Source organism: Homo sapiens, chromosome 3 (assembly GCF_000001405.40).
Source record: "Homo sapiens chromosome 3, GRCh38.p14 Primary Assembly".
Taxonomy (NCBI): Eukaryota; Metazoa; Chordata; class Mammalia; order Primates; family Hominidae; genus Homo; species Homo sapiens.
In genome coordinates this window covers 4,665,008-4,683,957 of record NC_000003.12, presented here as the reverse complement: position 1 = coordinate 4,683,957, position 18,950 = coordinate 4,665,008, and the positions used below count along the sequence as shown (strand labels likewise).

Genomic DNA, 18,950 nt, shown 5'->3' with positions numbered 1-18,950 from the left:
TTATTTCCTAGGCAAACAGCTTGTGATCTTGGTGACTTAACAAGCAGATCTCTTGAAAATAAATCCTATCACATTTATACCTAAAACCAGAAGAGGATGCTCCCTAGTTTCGAGAAGCCCATCCATCCACTTTGGCAGCATAACTTGTGTTTCACTCACCTCCGTTTTCTTATGTTCATTTTCTCCAGATGCACCATCCATAGTCTCATCGGGGCCCTGCCCTTTGTACACCCAAAGCTCTGACTTTTCCACGATGGACCTCAGTTGATCCAAGTCTTGTTTGATCTGTTTGTAGTTGTCCACATCTTGGCTGGTAACCAGCAGTTGAACCTTAATGAACGCAATCCGTTAGGTGCACACAACAGCTTCTTGGACAGACAACACACACGTGGGTGACCTGAGCTACCTGTTTGAAGGCCTGGAGCACCTCCTGCCTCTGGCTGAAGTGCCGGAAGAGGAGCTGCAGGGCCCCTGACACCAGGGGTGGGTAGTCATGCATCGTCAAGTGGAGCAGGACACGGAGAAAGGTTCTGCCGCCGTGGTCATCCAAGTCCAGTGGGGTGTTCTCCTCACTAAAGGAGCACAAGGTGGGGAAAGGCCAAATGAATGACAAATGCCTCCTCTCACGCCCCTTGGGCCCAGATGCACCTAACCTAGTTGCATTTCTAGCACTGTGATCTCCAGACATGCAATTTCACTTTTCATTAGCTCCTTTAACAATACAGCCTTGCTTCATCTTCAACTATATTATGAGGTGAGGGGACAAGGAAGATGTCATATTAAAAGATAAGTCAAATTTTAAGCCAAAGTGACAAGACTAGCATTAGATTCTCAACATCTACATAGGGTGTTCTTCTGCTGGGCTTCGTCTGTGGTCTGAGAACTGCAAGAGGATGTGTTTCTCCTAAGTTATTAGTTTATGTATTTAGTTTTTAGAGATGAGGTCTTGCTATGTTGCCCAGGCTGAATTCAAACTCCTATGCTCAAATGATCCTCCTGCCTTAGCATACTGAGTAGCTGGGACTATAGGAATGCACTACCATGCCTGACTATATTTAAATATTAATAAGCATATCCTAGATCAAATGGCAGACTACTCCATAACTGAGCACTGCTAGTCAATTATTGGGTCTGCACCTATATTGGGTTTAGAGTCAAATGAATGACAAATGGTGGAAACTTCCTGGTTGCTGGCTAATAAGAAAAGCACAGAGAAGACTTATAAATACTGTATTCATGCTATGTATTCCAAAAAGGTGTGAAGGTTTCAATGCTGTTCACTATGAGGAAAATGGCGGGAGAGCTGAGTGATCACACAGCACATGGAACCTGTATTATGCTAAACTCACAATACCATGTTTAAGTTTCAGAAAAACATCTTCCATCATAGTACATAATGTTGCTAATTCAAATTTCACAGGTTTTATATTAAGCATTGAGGTAGACTATTAACACTGGTGGGCCCCAACAGAGTGTTCAAACCCTTATGTAGTCCCCTCCCACACTGACAATGAGCTTGGCCATGGGATTTGCTTGAACAATAAGATATTAGGAGATGCAATGCAAGCAGAGGCCCAATTAGCACTTGCATACTGTTGGCTTGTCCTCTTAGAACATTTGCTTTTTGAGTCAGCCACCGTGCTGTAAAGAAGCCCAAGCTATCCACATGGACAGAGAGAGAAAGAAGTTCTGGCCTTGCAGGCATCTCTGCTATAGTGCCAGAAATGTGAATAATCCAACTTGGAGGTGCCAGCCCCAGTTACCACCTCACTACAGTATGACAGACCCAACAGTGACCACCAGCAGAAGAACCATCCAGCTTAATCAAGCCACAGGACTGTAAGAAGTATTAATAAAATGGTGGTGGTTTGAATCCTTAAGTTTTTTGGAGTAATATGTTATAAAGCAATAATCAAACCAAGTGTGCTAATTATAAGAACTATGTGCATATGGTGTTTATACCAAATTTTATACTTGGAGGTATAAGAGTTCCATAATTATAATAATGTCTTAAGTCAAAATTGACCAGTGCGGTTTTTTTTTAAAGGGGTTCATACATTAATATTAGGAACAATGAAAGACCAGATTTTGCTTTCTTTGTTGCATAGCCTGTAAGGAGCTCAGGGATAAAATTGTAGCCCAGCAGCAGCAGCAGGACATGATCTTACTAACTTCACTCTGTTTTGAGCCCCTCTCTCTTTCTATTCTTCTTTTGATTGCATTTCCTCACTATGTAAAAATAATCTTGTAATGTAGGTATTTTGAGAAATCTCCTTAAATCCTTTCTGTCCTAGGTGGGACACACACACACACACACACACACACACACACACTTTCTCTCTCTCTCTCTCTCACTCTCTCTCTCCTCCCAATCAAGCCAACCAAGTTAACTCTGACTTGAGTACTAACAGTTCCAAAGATAGCACCAAAACAACCTAAGCCCAGAGACTAAATATTTACTAACATAATAAAGGGAAGGCCTCTGAGAGCTCTGGAAGAGCAGCCTTCCCTACAAAACAGTAACTGAAAATATACTTTCCTTCCTCCAAAGATGCCTTCTGCTTGTTCTTCAATGTGTTCAAAGTCAAGAGCACCTGAAAAGTTAGAACATACCACTTCAGATGCAGGAAGGTCTGCAAACATGCTGCTGGTGAACTCATCCATAAGTTTTGCAGGGTAAAGCTGTTGAGTTAACCCCAAATCTCCCAGAACATTATATTGCAAAGCTATGCAGAGTGACTAACCCAGATGACATTAACCACATATTCCACATTCCTGCCCCTTCCTCCCTCACTGCATGGTCCCCTGGTAAAGGACAGCAATGATCTCACTCATGGAAGCTTGGGCTTGGTAGATGGGATTATTTCTACTCCTACCATCTCCCGTCACCACTAGTTCCTGGGCAGGGAAAAACTTCCAAAGTGAGTAAAAGCTGCTAGTGGTCAAGAAGTCTCCTGGAGAGTTTTTTGTTACTGTTTTTATTTTGGTATTTTTGCGGGGGAGGTGGGTAGCCACAATGCTGGAAACCTCAACTGTCTCATCACTAAGACACTCCCAGATGGAAGGAAACAAGATCCAACCCAGAAGGAATCTGGGCTCTATCAATTATTCACTTGCTCAAAAAGAGTAACTGCCAGGATGATGCCCTGGTGCAATAATCCTCAAAACCATTTTCACCCTTTTTCTAGAAGATACTGTTTGCTCTCCCCATTTTCCTTAGAGCCAGGTCCCATTCTATGGCTGAAATTCCATTCTGAATCACTAACCTGGTACATTACTTGGCCCTTCTTGGCTGCTGTTTCCGGAGGATGTTTCTGAAGTCTGGGAATTGCTTTCATCAAACTCTCGCTTAAATATACACAGGAGGCAGGAGATCCTATAATCCAACCTCACATTCAAAATAAACTAAAGATTCAAGTGGAAATGGAAACAGATTGGTTACATTAACATACCATCTTGACTCTGCCAAGCCACCACACACTGGCGGGGCCTGGTATCAGCTGCATCAATTACCTTAAGCACTAAGTGAGCCAAGTATTTGGCTTAGATTTCAACAGTCATTTTAACAACAGCAGACTTCCATGGGGCATATGAAGTCTGCCCATAGCACCTTAGCCTCTAGTGTAAGCTTCAGCATCCTGGCAATTAATTTAACAATTGGAACACTAAATCACTCACTCCTGGCTCCATAAATGGAGTCTATAAAACAAGACTCCATTTCAGTAAGTATTGAATGTCAACTCTGGGCCTAACACTGAAAAGAGTGAAGTTGCCTGCTTTGGATTTAAGAGAATTAACAAAAAAAAATTTGTTTTTTACTATGGAAAATTAGCTTGGTTCCTATTTCCTGTTTCTGGTTGTTTCCCCTGGTTTGGGTACAAACCCTTGGACACCCTCTTCTTTTGCCTCCTGTATTCCCTCACCCTTTATTCCAACACAGGGTCACTTTTCCCAGGATTGCTGCTAGAACCAAAAAGAAAGATTGAGCAGCTGACATCATGTAGGGATCTCACTCACGTTCTTCCTTCCGTTCTCCCCTTGTCTCTGCTTAGCCTCCCAGCAACCTTTCCCAGTCCAGTGGCCATCACCTCTTCCAGAGGGAGATAGGTCTCTGGCCTGCCTCCATGCTCTCAGTGTATGTGTCCTACAGACTGTTGGACATCCTATTTGCTATCTTCCCAGGGCCTCAAACTCAGTGTTTCACAAAAGTAACTGCGATGGTTAATTTTATATGCCAACTTGACTGGGTTCAAGGACACCTAGACAGCTTGTACAACTTTATTTCCGGGTAAATCTATGAGGGGGTTTCCAGAATGGACTGGCATTTGAATCAGTGAGCTGAGTAAAGAAGATCCGCTCTCACCCAGTGTGAGTGGGCACCATCCAATCCACGGAGGGCCTGGATAGAGCAAACAGGTGGAGGAAGACCGAATCCACCTGTTCTGGAGCTGGGACACTCATCTTCTCCTGCCCATCAGAGCTCCAGGTTCTCCGGCTTTTGGCCTCAGACTGAGAGTTACACCTTCAGCTCCCCTGGTTCTCAGCCTTGGGACTCAGGCTGAATCACACCACTGGCTTTCCCGGGACACAGCTTGCTGTGGCAGACTGGGGGACTTCTCGGCCTCCGTAACTGCGTGAGGCCAATTCCCATAATAAACCCCCTCTTGTCTATCTGTATGTATCCTATTTGTTCTGTTTCTCTGGAGAGCGCTAACACACTAACATTGTCAGTCTTGCCTTCATCTACTTTCTGCCTGGGTTTCCTCAACCTCAGTCAGTTGCCTGATCATCAGCGCCTCCTTCCTGGACACACATCTAATCAGAGACTAAGTCCTGGTGGTTCTCCATTTACCGCTTCTCATAGAGTTCTCCCCTACTGCCGTTTCTCCCTGCTCAAGGCCTCATTATCTCCTGCCTGTTCCATTTACAGAACCAAATTCACCAAATCAGCCTCCTAACCACTTGTTCTTATGTTAAGCTCCCGCTTGAAGACTTTCAAAGGCTCAACAGAGAATAAGCCTTAGCATTTTAGACACCCAAAGCTCTGTGCAGTGTGGCTTGGTCCTCCTTTCCAAACTCACTTCTGACAACTTCCCCTCAGCACACTCTATGTCTCTGCTCAGCAAGAACTGCCCACTGACCTGCATCCCATGGTACTCGGCTTCAGGCTGCTCCATCCACCTGAGAACGGGCCCTTGTTTCTCCATGTACAAAGCCCATGCACCTTAAAGGCTCAGATGAAACCCTACCTCCTCCATCAACCCTTCTCTGATCTTTACCATGTGGAGTCACATGACCCCACTCCCGGACTCCAGTCTCAGAAGAACTTTCTGGTGGTTTTATTTCCACATCCACGCAGCTTCATCATACCTTATTCTCCCATCAGACTATAAACCCCTGTGGATGGAGCCCCTGTTCGAATCATTTTTGCATTCCTCACAGTGCACATGGTAGGGAGTCAATAAGTACCCGTGGAAAGAATGACTCAATCGACCAATCCTTCTTAGGTCACCACGGTGAGTGGACCTCAAGATGTGACCAAGTTTTGCACTGCGTCGTTTCTGATAAACGTCCAAGACACCACTTTGGAACACATGGACCATGGCCTGCAAATTTTATATGTATATTTTGTCTCGACAAAAAAAATTGAAAATAAAAGTAAAAATAAAATTTATTAAAAAATAAAGTTTTAAAAAAGGAATCTTTCTCTACTGTTGCTCAGGCATAAATTCAGTAAGATTTCTCCTTTACTTAAGCTGTCTTTATCGTCCTAATTACATGACTTTGAGACAACCCATTAAAACTTTCAAAGCATTGGTAAAGGGTGATTTCAGACTAAAAAATAAAACCCCCAGATCTTAAACATTTATGAATTTCTACTACATCTGTTGGGGTTGAGATCAGGCAACATGGGATAAAAAAAAAGAAGGTGCTAACACATAATTCTTTCCATTAAGGAGCAGATGATTTTGTTGATGAATAAAAGTTACCTACACGGCACAGAAAGAGGGAAGCGCAGGTTGTCGGGTGGGGTTCAAAGCTGTAGAGAGGCTTGGGAGGGTTTCATGCCTACGACCAAGCCTTCCCTATATACTAGATTCCACCCCCGCTTGCCTACAGAAGGACTTTGCTCTTACAATTATTCTCTCCCCAAACAGCAACAAACTCTCCCTGTATACATGATCATTCCTATTCACCATACAAGCTTGTTATAACCCACCCACTTAAAAAATATTACAACAAAAATAAACCATGTTACCAACAATCGCTCTCTGCCCATGTCCCCACTTCTCTGTGCATCCTTACAGGCAATCTGTCCAAGAAGCTATATATATTTACTCCCCGACTTGATCTTCTCCCATTCCCTCTTGAACCCCACCTGTTCCCAAATGTGCCCTCTTCACCATGGGGTCTTTGTGTTTGCTGCTCCCTCTGCCTCAGATACCCTTTCCCAAGATATCTGTGTGGCTATCTCCTCACTTCATTCAGGTGTGTAATCATGTCACTGTACTGGAGAGGCCTTCTCTGATAACCTCACCAAACACAATAACCCCAGCCCCCTGTCCTCAGTGTCTCCAAACAATCCTGACCCTCCTTTACTTTTTAACGTCTCTTAGCACTTATTCTTAATACATGCCCATGCCCCTCTATCAAAATGTAAATTCTAGAGAAGCAGGAATTTCATCTATTTTTTTCATTGCTGGACCCTCCCAGTGCTTAAGGGGACTTGGCACAGAGTTGGTCTCAATAAATATTTGTTGATTGAATGAAAAAGGGAAGAAGGGAGGAAGGCTTTGCAAAGTTGATGGAACCCTGAACCTAGTTATGATCAATAAGCAGAGATGCAGCTACATGGAGACACAGAGGTAAGTGAATTCTAGGCAGAGGGTTGGCATGGAGGCCAATGATCATGGAAAGCTAAGATAACAATGGCAAGTCTTGACATGGCTGGAGGGACATGGCCATGTTGGGAGGGTAGGAGAAAGCAGTAAAGGGATTAAGAGGAGCCAGCTCATAAATGACACGGAGGGATGAGCTAAGGATTTGCCCCCATTTTCTTCCCAGAAAGCCTTGGGCTCCATCAGAACAGAGGGACTGGATCTGAATGGCGCCTCTGTGACATACCCTCCCTACCCCAGCTCCAGCTAGTGGATACCTGGAGTATCTCAATGATCTTCAGCTTGGTGTCCATGACCATGATGTCCTCCTTCTCAGGCTCTGCCTGCTTCACATTGCCTTCAGGGGCAGCAGCCATGGGAGTCATGGGCAAAAAGCCTCCTCCCCGGAGCACCACCTGGGTCATCAGCTCTCCCACGCCATGAATAGATCTCATCACGTTACTGCCTAGGAAAGGCCAGGAGAGACCACGGTCACAATGTCTCTAGAGAATGCTCAGAGGCATATGTCAAGGGGCAGGGGCTCTTTGAGAGAAATTATTTAACATATCCCTATTCCAACATAATCTCAGGACCCTGGAAACCTGGAAAGGTAAATGCACATCAAAAATCTGGGCTTCTGAGAGCAACAGAAAGATCACGGGCTTCAAAATCCCCAGAGGGGCATTTCTGTGCACTAACTTGCCCATCAAATTTTATTTTTTTTAATTTTCTTTAGAGACAGGATCTTCCTCTATCACCTAGGCTGGAGTGCAGTGACACAATGATGGTTCCCTGTGGCCTCAAACTTCTGGGCTCAAACAATCTTCCTGCCTCAACGTCTCAAGTAGCTAGGACTATAGGCATGCATCACCACACCCAGCTAATTTTTTTTTTTTTTTTGGTAGAGATAGGTTCTCTCTATATTGCCCAGCCTGGTCTCGAACTCCTGGCCTCAAGCAATCCTCCTGCTACAGCCTCCCAAAATGTTAGTATTACAGGTATGAATCACTATGCCCTGCCCAAATTTTATTGATCATCAACTATGTGCTTGTTATGAGCACAGAACTAGGTACATAAAGTTAACAAGGTACAAATCCTGATGCTGCTTGACCTTAGGTGCACCATACTACCTCTAAGCCTCAGTCTCCTCATCTACAAAATGGAAATAAAGGAGCTCAACAAAAGAACTAAATGGTATAATGCAACATGACTCAGCACAAGACCTAGCAAATAGAGATAAGTCAATGTATTTCTTTCTGTTCTAGCTGCAGAAGACCAGTTAACAATAATTGATACATGATACCAATATCTGCCTACTCTGACCCTAAAACGAGGAAGAAATAAACATGCAAAGGCAGATTGTCCTTCTCACAAAGTGGAAATAGCCACCAAGATAGAAGCCTGGATTTTCTTACATCCTAAACAAATATTATTATCAAGGGTCTCACGAATGTCAAGAACAATGATAGGACATGTATTTGTTATATAAACATTCAAAGTGTTAAGTAACTTTCAAATTGTTCAACAAAATATACACACGACTCATACATAAACACATAAATACAAAATAAAATACACATAAATACACATAAATACAAAATAAAATTCAGCAAAACGTGAATAACTGTTGACTCAAAGTCATGGGTACGTGGGACTCCATCGTACTGTTCTTTCCGCTTTTCTTTACACAGTATTTGAAAATGTTCACGATGAAAAGTTGGGAAGGAATGAACAAAGAAAGGATGTGGCATCACATATAGGGTATGACATGAGCATAACAGGAAAGGCTGGAGGGCATCTCTCAGATGTATGGGCACCCTCAGATACTCACTCTTCAGCTTCTCCACATCATTGTTACCTTTATTCTCTTCTCCTTTCGCCATCTTGCTAATGGGGAAGATTGTTGTCACATGTACACAGTCCAATATGGCCAGAAGGATCTTAGTTAATCGTAGAAGGTCAGAGAAGTTGTAGAAACCAAAGTATATGAGATTCCTAGCTAAATTTACAACCTATTGTATTAAAATAAAAGAAGAAGACGGTATTACATAAACTGCATCCCCTTCAATTCCATTTGATGTTGACCAGTTTAGAAATGACAGACTTGGACCTTCCTTATGGTAAGAGAAGGCATGTATTTTCCTTGCACTTTCTGATAAATTTTCATTTTGTTTCATAAGGAGGAAAAATAAGAAATGGAAAGCTACTGATCTGCTCTGATGACTAATCAAAAAAAAAAAAAGACCTCATCATTTGCTCTACACAGCTTCCCAAGGATAATATTAACACCAGGCAAGCAGAGTTATTCCCAATAAGGACACAGATAATAACACTCTGCGATCCTCAGCAATACAGCTCTTAAAAGGCAAAAGCAGTCTCAGAAACGTTGTTAACTCAGAAGTAACAAGGATTTATGTTCTGCAAATGATTAAGCTATGGCAGATTGCAAGCACAGTGTTTCTCTCTTGTCAGTTTTAACACAAAGTGATGTTCTATCATTTTATGTGGTTCAAGTCACCTTGTATATTTCTTTTAAGCCCATAACTACTATTAAGCCATGTGACTGGTATCCGTTTTATTTTATTCTGGAACAAAACCAAGCTGAATTCCTTTCCATTACAAAACCAGAGCATCATGACCAAAATCACAACCTACTCACATATTTTCTATTTGCCCCATAGAAAAATGACCACTGAGAGGCAGATAATACACATAGAAGATTTCATCATGAGTTACCTCAAACGTAAGCTTATTCTTCTCTTTATCAGAGAAAGGGAACCTCTGACAAACCACATCTCTTAAATACTCCTCCACAAACTCCATGGTCTGAGCAAATCTCTCCTTAATTTCATCTTTGGAAGCTCCACTACTATCATAGCTGAAAAGAAAGGAGAAAGAAAGGAAACAAAATTTCAAGTTATTCCCAGAGAGGTCTTCCTGGGTCACTCAGCTTCAAAAGTCAACATCCCCTAACCCTTGGCATCCCTTGACCCTACTTTATTTTTTCCCTCCTTAGCATATATCACCAACTATATATTTGAGTCGTTTATCTTGCCTATTGTCTGTCTTCCACCAACTAGCATAGAGATTGCTTTCTAGTTTGTTCACTGATATATTTCTTGAGCTTGGCACATAGTACACACTTAAATATTTGCAGAATGAAAGAGGAGATAAATGAGATATAAAAAATACAATCGGGGCCAGGCGCGGTGGCTCACGCCTGTAATCCCAGCACTTTGGGAGGCCGAGGTGGACGGCTCACAAGGTCAGGAGATCGAGACCGTCCTAGCTAACACGGTGAAACCCCGTCCCTACTAAAAATACAAAAAATTAGCCGGGCGTGGTGGTGGGCGTCTGTAGTCCCAGCTACTTGGGAGGCTGAGGAAGGAGAATGGCACGAACCCGGGAGGCAGAGCTTGTAGTGAGCCGAGATTGCGCCACTGCAGTTCAGCCTGGGCAACAGAGTGAGACTCCATCTCAAACAAACAAACAAACAAACAAAAACCAAAAACATAATCATGCCATCTTTCACATTCTTGAGGAAAAAAATATTTGCCATCCACTTAATTTTATTTTAAGCTTGAAGAAAAAACCAACACTTCATCTTTCTTCTAAGATTTAATGAGACCATATGGGGCTATCTACTGCCGCACAGAATAATGTAAAGTGAGGTTTTCAGGTGCCAGGCTCACTCGTCAATGGCGATCTCCGAGGGAATCTCCGACCAGAGGCGGGCATATTTCACGGGGGTGACTTGTTCCTGGGGATCTCGGTCCACATGCATGTGAAGCATGAGGCGGCAGAAGGACGCCCTGAGGTCATAGGGCAGGTTCTCGTCAGACATGCAGCGGAGAATGAGATCGACATCCAGCTGGCCTGAGATTTCGTTGATGGCCAGGTATTGGCGGTCCAGACACATCCTCGCAAAGAGGTTCAGCTGATATCTAGAGGAAGGAACAAGGGCACACAGCTCACGCTCCAGAAATCATTCAGGATGAATGAAGGGTCGTCTGGGCAGCCCTGACTGTCATGGGAGTGACATTTGGCCAACTAAACTCATACATCAACACCCCTAAATTGCTCTTGTATACCAGGATTTTGGCTTTGGTACCAAGCAGATAAAAGAACTATTCAAGCTGTGCAGTAGAGTGTGGGTTGACAGCCAACAGGAACACATGTCTATCCAGCTGTGTTGGAGCAATTATGTGACGACCTAATTCCACTAGGTCCTTAATGTTTACTTTTTAAAATAAACGGGGGGAATGCTAAGGCCTAAGATGGTTGTCTATTTCTTTCCCTTCAGCTGTGTTTTATACAGTAAAGACCATGTAGGAAATGTTCAAGATATCACACATATTCAGCCTAATTAGAAATTTTATAACATTTTAAAGATCTTATATCATGTAAGTCACTCTAATTCCTACACGTGTAAAAAAACATTTCATTTACAAAAGTAGGAGACTCCTCACTTTTCATCTTCATCCAATTGCAAGTGAATGTTGTTAACTGGAACCTGACCAATTAAGGCACTCTTTCTCATTCACTTGGGAGAAGATTCATCAAACACTGAAAGAGTAAACATACTTGAAATGTGAAATAACGAGAAAGCCACAGGCTTTCAAAATACTGCCTTCTGAATTAAAAACTCTATGTATTTCTAATAATCATGATTTGAAGACATTCTCAGCCTCATTAGATGTCGGGGAAATGCAAGTGTAGACATGAGTCTATTTCACACTTATAAAATTACCAAAAATTAAAAAGCATCATGATATTCAAGGTTAACAAAGACATGAAGAAACAAAGCTTGTCGTCTACAACTGGTGGGTGTGTACACTGACACATCCAATTTAGAATTGCTTAGTAAAGCTTAAAATATGAATATCCTCCAAGCCCACCTCCCAGTGTGGAATGGAAATTCATACATATACTCAGAAAAATTTGAATGAAGATGTTTCCTGACATGAAGAACTGCAGCATGTGATCAAATATCAAACAGCGATGAAAATGTGATAAATCAATAAAACAGAATATCATCCAACAGTCCAAATTACAGAAATGGATTAATCTCTATTAACGCAGATATATTCAATATGGCTTCAGTACCCGTATTGAATAAATAAGGCAAGTTTTAGAATGGTATTTGGAGTACAGTCCCATTTATATAAAATTTTAAGTAGAGATAAAATACTACATATGATTTACAGATGCATACAAATGCAGCACACAGAGAATGTGGATAGGATGCGTACATCACACATGAATGAAAGAACAGAATACAGGAGGCAAGAAAAGGCATTTTATCTGCAGTTTTATTTATTTTATTAAAAAATAATAAAAGCCTTGCTTTATCTTCCCTTTCCTTTTCTTTTAAAAGTATTAATTGGTTCACTTCCTTTCTTTCTTCCCCTTCCCTTCCCTTCAGGTGGCAGGACTGGCAGGTCTTACAGCTGGAGCCAAGGAGACACTGGGGACCGTGGAGGTGGGTGGCAGAGGTGAGACAGGTACACACAGGGAAACGGGCAGATGGGTAAACATACAGGGAATCGTGGCAGCTGGAGGGAGTCATGAAATGGAAAAGGTGAAGGCTAGAATAAATCCTATGGTGTTGGAATGGAATTGGAAGTATTAGTGTAAGTACATGCTTTTTATTATATATTTGTGTAGTTATAGAAAGATACATGGATGAATGTGTAGATATATGTGTATACAAACACACACATCTTCTGTCTCTGTCTATAAACATTTGGTGAGATTGGCACTATCACCTTCATTTTGCAGATAAAGAAATTAGAGCATAAAATCAAACTTGGCCAATGTCAAAAAACTGGTAAGCGGAGAGGTAGGGATGTGACCCCACAGCCTGCCTCTTACGTACCTACCACCATATCTATGGGCCATGCTGCTGAAGGATAAACTATCACCAGGGACTGAGGCAAGCACTCATCCTTTTTGGGAACCAGCCACATCCAGATGTCAACTAACTGAAATCTTACACTCCAAACTCCTAAAACACACATCTGGCTTTTTTCTAGACAATCTTACAAGATGACTCCTTGTGATTCCTTGAAGTAATCAACAAACGAGCAACAAATTCCTAAGTGCCACTGTTTTGGGGCACCCCAATCTGAGCCCCACACGTGTCCCACGCACCTGTAGTAGCTGAGAACGTCTCGGTCCTCCTTCTGCCCTTCTTTAGCATCCTGAGCCAATTCCCTCACACTCTTGCTGCGAATCTCTTTGTTGCTGTCCCTCCAAAACAGCCACACCTCTTCCTCGTCTTCTCCTGCCTCCAGAGCATTCTCTCCAGTGGAAGAGACACCTTCAAATTCAAAACGAGAAAGAACCAACCTAGAAAACAAGAGGAGGAGGGAAAAGTTACTATTTTTAAAAATACTTTGAGATCTAGCTTTACTTTCAGCATAAAGACACATGGAAAGACACTTTTTGTTTTGTATTTCCCCCAAGGGCAGAGCCGCAGAGAGCCTGACATTAACATCTTCATATACTGTAACCCAGTGGTTCTCGACTATGGTGCTGCTGCCCCCAGTGGACACCAGGCAATGTCTCTGGACAGGTTTTTGGTTGTCACAACCGAAATGGAGAGGTGCTACTGGCATCTAAGTGGGTAGGGGCCAGGGATGCTGCTGAACATTTTACAGTGCCTAGCACAGCCCCACAACAAAGAATTACCAAGCCCGAAATGTGAAAATACCTAAACTGAAAAACCCTGCATTAGCCCAAGCCCAAAACTGAGTTATACATGTGAATCAATGAAGTATCACTAGCTCAGGACGTAATTTAGTATGTTTTTTAAGGCTGTCCATATTACCGGCACTGTACTTCTCAGGAAAACTGCTCCTTTGCCAAAAATGAATTACTACTGGTAACAAAAATTCTGCAGACCAATAAACATGTTCTGAACAGTAATAATTTAAAACTCCTCCCAACACTGACTTAATCTTAACACTGAATATTCATTATGTCATTTGAAATTTTAAATTGATGGTCACACTTACAAAGAGTTTTAAACTCTTAAAATGTAGCTGTATAAAATGCTCCCCGGTGAGTTTACATGACTTCTAAACTTGTATGCAAAATAAGTGACACCACTATGAAGAGGAGGTGACACCAAAATCAAATTCGGGAATTCTCCTAATCAAGACTTTTCCAATAAGAAGATCAAATGCCAGCCACACTGACTTTAGATCAACTCAAAAAATGATAGGGCTAGGTTTTATTCCTCATGAGCACCAACACTGAATGAACCCCATGTTTTCCATCTAAACCCTGGCTCCCCACTCACTTGGTCTCAATCAGGATGTCAGCGTTGGTGGGGTTCAGCACAGCTTTACATATCAGTTCCTGGGTCACTGGAATTGATTTGTTCATGGAGACACAGAGGTCGGAGAGGTAATCTAAGAATCTAAACAGAAACAGAAACAAAACATTTTCTGTAGATAGAGCAGAGGTTAGGCTCCTGGACCCCAATTCTTCCTTAAGTGCACAGGTCCAACATACCTTTACCAAGACATGTCAGCAGCATTCTAAGTCTTGATGCCAATGTTTATGGCATCACCAGAAAGCCACATGCCAGAAAGAAGGAAGAGGAAACAAGAAGGAAAGACAGGAGTGGCTGTGGTCAAGGAAGAGGTGATGAGGCAAAGATGAGAAGAAGGAACAAGACAAGAAAGCAGCTCACATAAGGAAGGTGTGGTGGAGACACAGGGGAACCACAGTGGTGAGAGGCAACGCCCTGATGTTTGGCTACGTGTGTTGGAAGCCCAGTTAGGATCTTATTAGCGGAGTTCTGCTATGGAGCGTTCATTTGGGGAAATTACTAATTTCACTGTGCTTTAATTGATGCTCGTCTACAGAAAAGGATAATGTGTCACTTCTGAGGGCTGTCCTGCGGATTAAATGAGATAATTAACGGAAGTGCTTCCATTGCTCACTACCTGAGCCCTTGAGCAGGCTCCAGAAAATGCGGGTTATTTTCAAGGGTGGTAGTAGGTGTTTTTACAGCAACTGTGTCCGTGCTCCATTGTAATCATTTGTGACACCCACATTGTAAATTGCTTCCCGCTTCAACTGAAAATATGGGTCTTAATTAGAAGGACAAGAGAAGGGGAAAGAAATGGGGAGAGGGTGTACGAAAGAGGAGCAGATCTGTGTGAATGAGATACAATCAATAGAATTCACTAATCTATAATAAAAACGCTCAACCAACAACTGAACTTGCAAGACTCTTACTGATTATACTGAGGGAGGGGAGTGTTTAACTGATAAGCAAGAGGTGCTAAAAAGTGAATGAGGCCGAGCGCGGTGGCTCACGCCTGTAATCCCAGCACTTTGGGAGGCAAAGGCGGACAGATCACGAGGTCAGGAGTTCAAGACCAGCCTGGCCAATATGGTGAAACCCCGTCTCTATTAAAAACACAAAAATTAGCTGGGTGTGGTGGCACGTGCCTGTAGTCGCAGCTACTGGGGAGCCTGAGGCAGAACAATTGCTTGAACCCGGGAGGCGGAGGTTGCAGTGAGCTGAGATCTCGCCACTGCCCTCCAGCCTGGGTGACAGAGCGAGACTCCATCTTAAAAAAAAAAAGAAAAAGGGAATGAAAAGAGTGAGATCCAGTCATTTGCAACAACATGGATGGAACTGGAGGAGGTCATAATGCTAAGTGAAATAAGCCAAGCACAGAAAGACAAACATCGCATCTTCTCACTTATTTGTAGGATCTAAAAATCAAAACAATTGAACTCATGGACACAGAGTAGAAGGATGGTTACCAGAGGCTGGGAAAGATAGTGGGAGGGCAGGGGGGAGGTGGGGATGTTAACAGGTAAAAAAAAAAAAAAAAAAAATAGAAAGAACGAATAAGACCTACTGTTTGTAGGTAAATTGGGTAATTACAGAATGAATAAGACCTACTGTTTGTAGGTAAATGGGGTAATTACAGTCAATAATTTAATTGTACATTTTAAAATAACTAAAAGAATAGAACTGAATTCTTTGTAACAAAAAATAAATGTTTGAGGGGATGGATACCCCATTCTCTACAATGTGATTATTACACATTGCATGCCTACATCAAAACATCTCATGTACCCCATAAATATATACACCTACTACGTACCCACAAAAATTAAAAATTAAAATTAAGAACATTTTTTAAAAAGTGAATGAGTGGCCAACAATTTGTCATTTCCTCTGCATCCACTAAGTGCCTGCACGTCACCTGCGTTTATTCTCATTTAATTTTCATAACTACCCATTTAGCAGATAAGGAAATTAAAGTTCAGGAAAAAACCCAAGCTCATCCAGGTGGGACACACTGGAGCTAGGAATGCACCCCCAGGTCTCATTTTAACACCAAGTTCTTGCCACTACTCATCAAAAAGCCTCTCCAGACCTAACTAATCAAAACTTGTCACTAGCAGCACAAGGAAACGTAGTAAAAAGCACCAGCTAAGTCCCTGCATCTTACAGGCAGAGACACCATCCTGCATGGACCCCACTCCCGCCTCACCTGGGCTCCCTGTTCTTTCGCACCAGGCTGACAAATGTGTCAATCTCTGCCGCGGTAATGTGTTTTTCCAGGAGTTTCCGATTATTGTGGAGCAGGGCAGTGATAGTGTCTTCAGCCAACACATCATAGCCAATCTGCTTCTGCATGAAGCCAAACTGCTTGGCTATATACTCCTTTATAAGGAGAGAAAAGAGACGTCAGTAGGAAGGATAAATGACAATATGGTTAAGCGTAGACTAAAGAAAGCAGCAATGTTTCCTGATGAGAACTACTGCCCCTAAGAGACATTACAGTATAAGGGAGGGTCTTCCTACAACTTTCTATCCTAGGGCAACAGCTGCAAACTCCTTCACATCCTTTACTTTTCTAAGCCTGCCACACAAATGTAATTAAGCAAAATAGCCTGTATTTACACGTGGATATTTTATTAAGTGCACAGTATAAATTTTAATCTAGTGATTTATTTTTCAAAAAGGTCCAAAGCTGGTTTTCAGCTCTAAACGTATTCCTAATTCAAGAGGACTTAACTGTGCCCCCAGTGATCTGTGCTGCTAAATAAACACAGATAAAGCCTACCTGGAGATCTGGAACAATGTTACCCTGTTTCATTTCCTTTATTTGTGGTAAAAATACTTTTTTAAAGTCAATGAGTAGCATAAGAAGGTCAGGAATAAATACCTAAGAAAATCCATCATATGCATGGAACTCATGAATACATCTCTGGTTTCTCTCTTTTGGGATCAGCTATCACATTCCATAGAAATATTTGTGAACTCAAGGAAATCTCTTACAAATACCTGTTTGTTTCTGTTCAAAGATGCTTCCCTGGCCAAGATAGACTGCTTGCTCAAAATTCAAGTGGCCCTTGAAACTTGCTTTAATTTTTTTCCCATTAATTCCTAAATCCCGGTTAACTATTTAGGATTAACATAATGAAAACAGGCCATGGTTTTCAGCCTGTATTCTATAAGGAGGCATTGTGTAGGAACTTATCATCTGCCAACTGGTAAAGGATCCGAAAACAACTAAGCAAAGATGTCTAATCCAGCAATTCCAAGAGTAACTAGTTTGTTTCCTCATGTACAAGCAAAGTGTCTTGACACACCCCACAGACCCAGATGTATCCTCATCTGAAGATGGGAGAGAGGAACAGAATAAAATCTCTCTGGCTATTGGATTACAGTATCAACGCACTGAAGGTGGATTTAAAGCAATCACAGCTTGATACACTTCAAAAAAAGCACTATTCAAGATCAACACTATCTTTATGATGACATGACAAAAACCTTTAATTACAAAGAAAAAACTCTAAAAGTCCAGTATAGTGGCAGTCAAAACCTTAAAAACAAAAGCCTTTTGCCCCAAAAGGCAGGGATAGTTCACATAAAGTGGTAAGAGTCAAGGTTATGATAAGCATCATTTTGCATGCCTACGGTACTCCATGTGGCACAAATTTTCTAAACCTCAGCACTACTGACATTTTAGGCAGGATAATTCTTGGTTGTGTGGGGATGTCCTTGGCACTGCTGGGTGTTTGAGAGCATCCCTAGCCTCCCCTCACCAGATGCCAGCAGCACCATGAAGTTATAAAACTCAAAAGGGTCTCCAGATGTTGCCAAATATTCTTTGGGGGACAAAATTACCCCCAGTTAAGAACCAATGATGTAGCAATATAGTTCTCAGGTTTTCTTAGAATCTGAAGGTTGTTTGGAGCTCCTAGGACATTTATTTCATAGGAGACTATACATTGTGTGTGTATATAAATACACATATACTATGTATAATATGTAAAATATAACTATGTATAAGATATCTCTATAGACAATGACTTAGAATGTCATAAAACATGAATCAGAAACAAAATAAAGATCATGTTTCTAGAAAGAGACGGAGAATTTTAAAGGTGCAGGAAGAAAAGACTCCACTATATCTTTAATATAAACACATGGCATCATTTCACCCCTAAGCCCTAAGGGAATACGTCATAAAAAATTCTATAAATGTAAAACCAACTCCAAAACCAGAAATCTCATAGAAAGATGTCTGCAGAAGAGAATTCTCCAGTACGTTTCTTAACGATTAGGTAATAATATTCTTCCTGGGCTTGTGTTTCCTTCCCAAGAGCAAGCTCAACACTGAACTATTCTGCATCCATTCTATAAATAGACATGTGACACTAAAAACTCAGGAGGAAAGTTCACAAACTTCAGGGAGGAAACTGACAACCACATCCCACCAATGCTTAATCCAAACCTGGTTCTTCCTGTAGTCTTGCTGCGAGTGTCTCAGCACCCTGTAGCAGAGCCGGCAGATGTGTCTGAAAGGAGCGTGCCGCTGGTCCCCGAGCTCTTCCAGCCGAAGCATTGGGCCATCACCGCAGTCTGTGAATGGGGCTTGTAACAACTTGAAGATCTGTTTGTGAAAATGAAAAGCAAAAATGGCAATCACTTAGGGCTTCAAAGCTAACCCTCTGTTTGGAAGTAATGCAAGCTCAAGGGTGGCTGGATTACATTAGAAAATTTCTCTATCCCAACACATCCAT

General features: G+C 42.0%; 1 protein-coding gene across 4 annotated transcripts in view; it reads right to left on the bottom strand.

Moving 5' to 3' along the window:
* Nucleotides 1-18,950, bottom strand: part of ITPR1 (inositol 1,4,5-trisphosphate receptor type 1) — a 354,159-nt gene that overhangs the window by 163,549 nt on the left and 171,660 nt on the right. For 2 of the 4 annotated variants that reach the window (NM_001378452.1, NM_001168272.2), the window contains 12 exon segments: nucleotides 18,662-18,820; nucleotides 16,409-16,581; nucleotides 14,185-14,304; nucleotides 13,032-13,229; nucleotides 10,571-10,822; nucleotides 9,615-9,756; nucleotides 8,710-8,890; nucleotides 7,157-7,344; nucleotides 3,267-3,405; nucleotides 2,540-2,594; nucleotides 407-572; nucleotides 160-330 (listed from right to left, as the gene is read on the bottom strand). In NM_001378452.1, coding sequence (NP_001365381.1) covers nucleotides 160-330; nucleotides 407-572; nucleotides 2,540-2,594; nucleotides 3,267-3,405; nucleotides 7,157-7,344; nucleotides 8,710-8,890; nucleotides 9,615-9,756; nucleotides 10,571-10,822; nucleotides 13,032-13,229; nucleotides 14,185-14,304; nucleotides 16,409-16,581; nucleotides 18,662-18,820 — 1,944 coding nt within the window. 4 annotated transcript variants of the gene reach the window in all.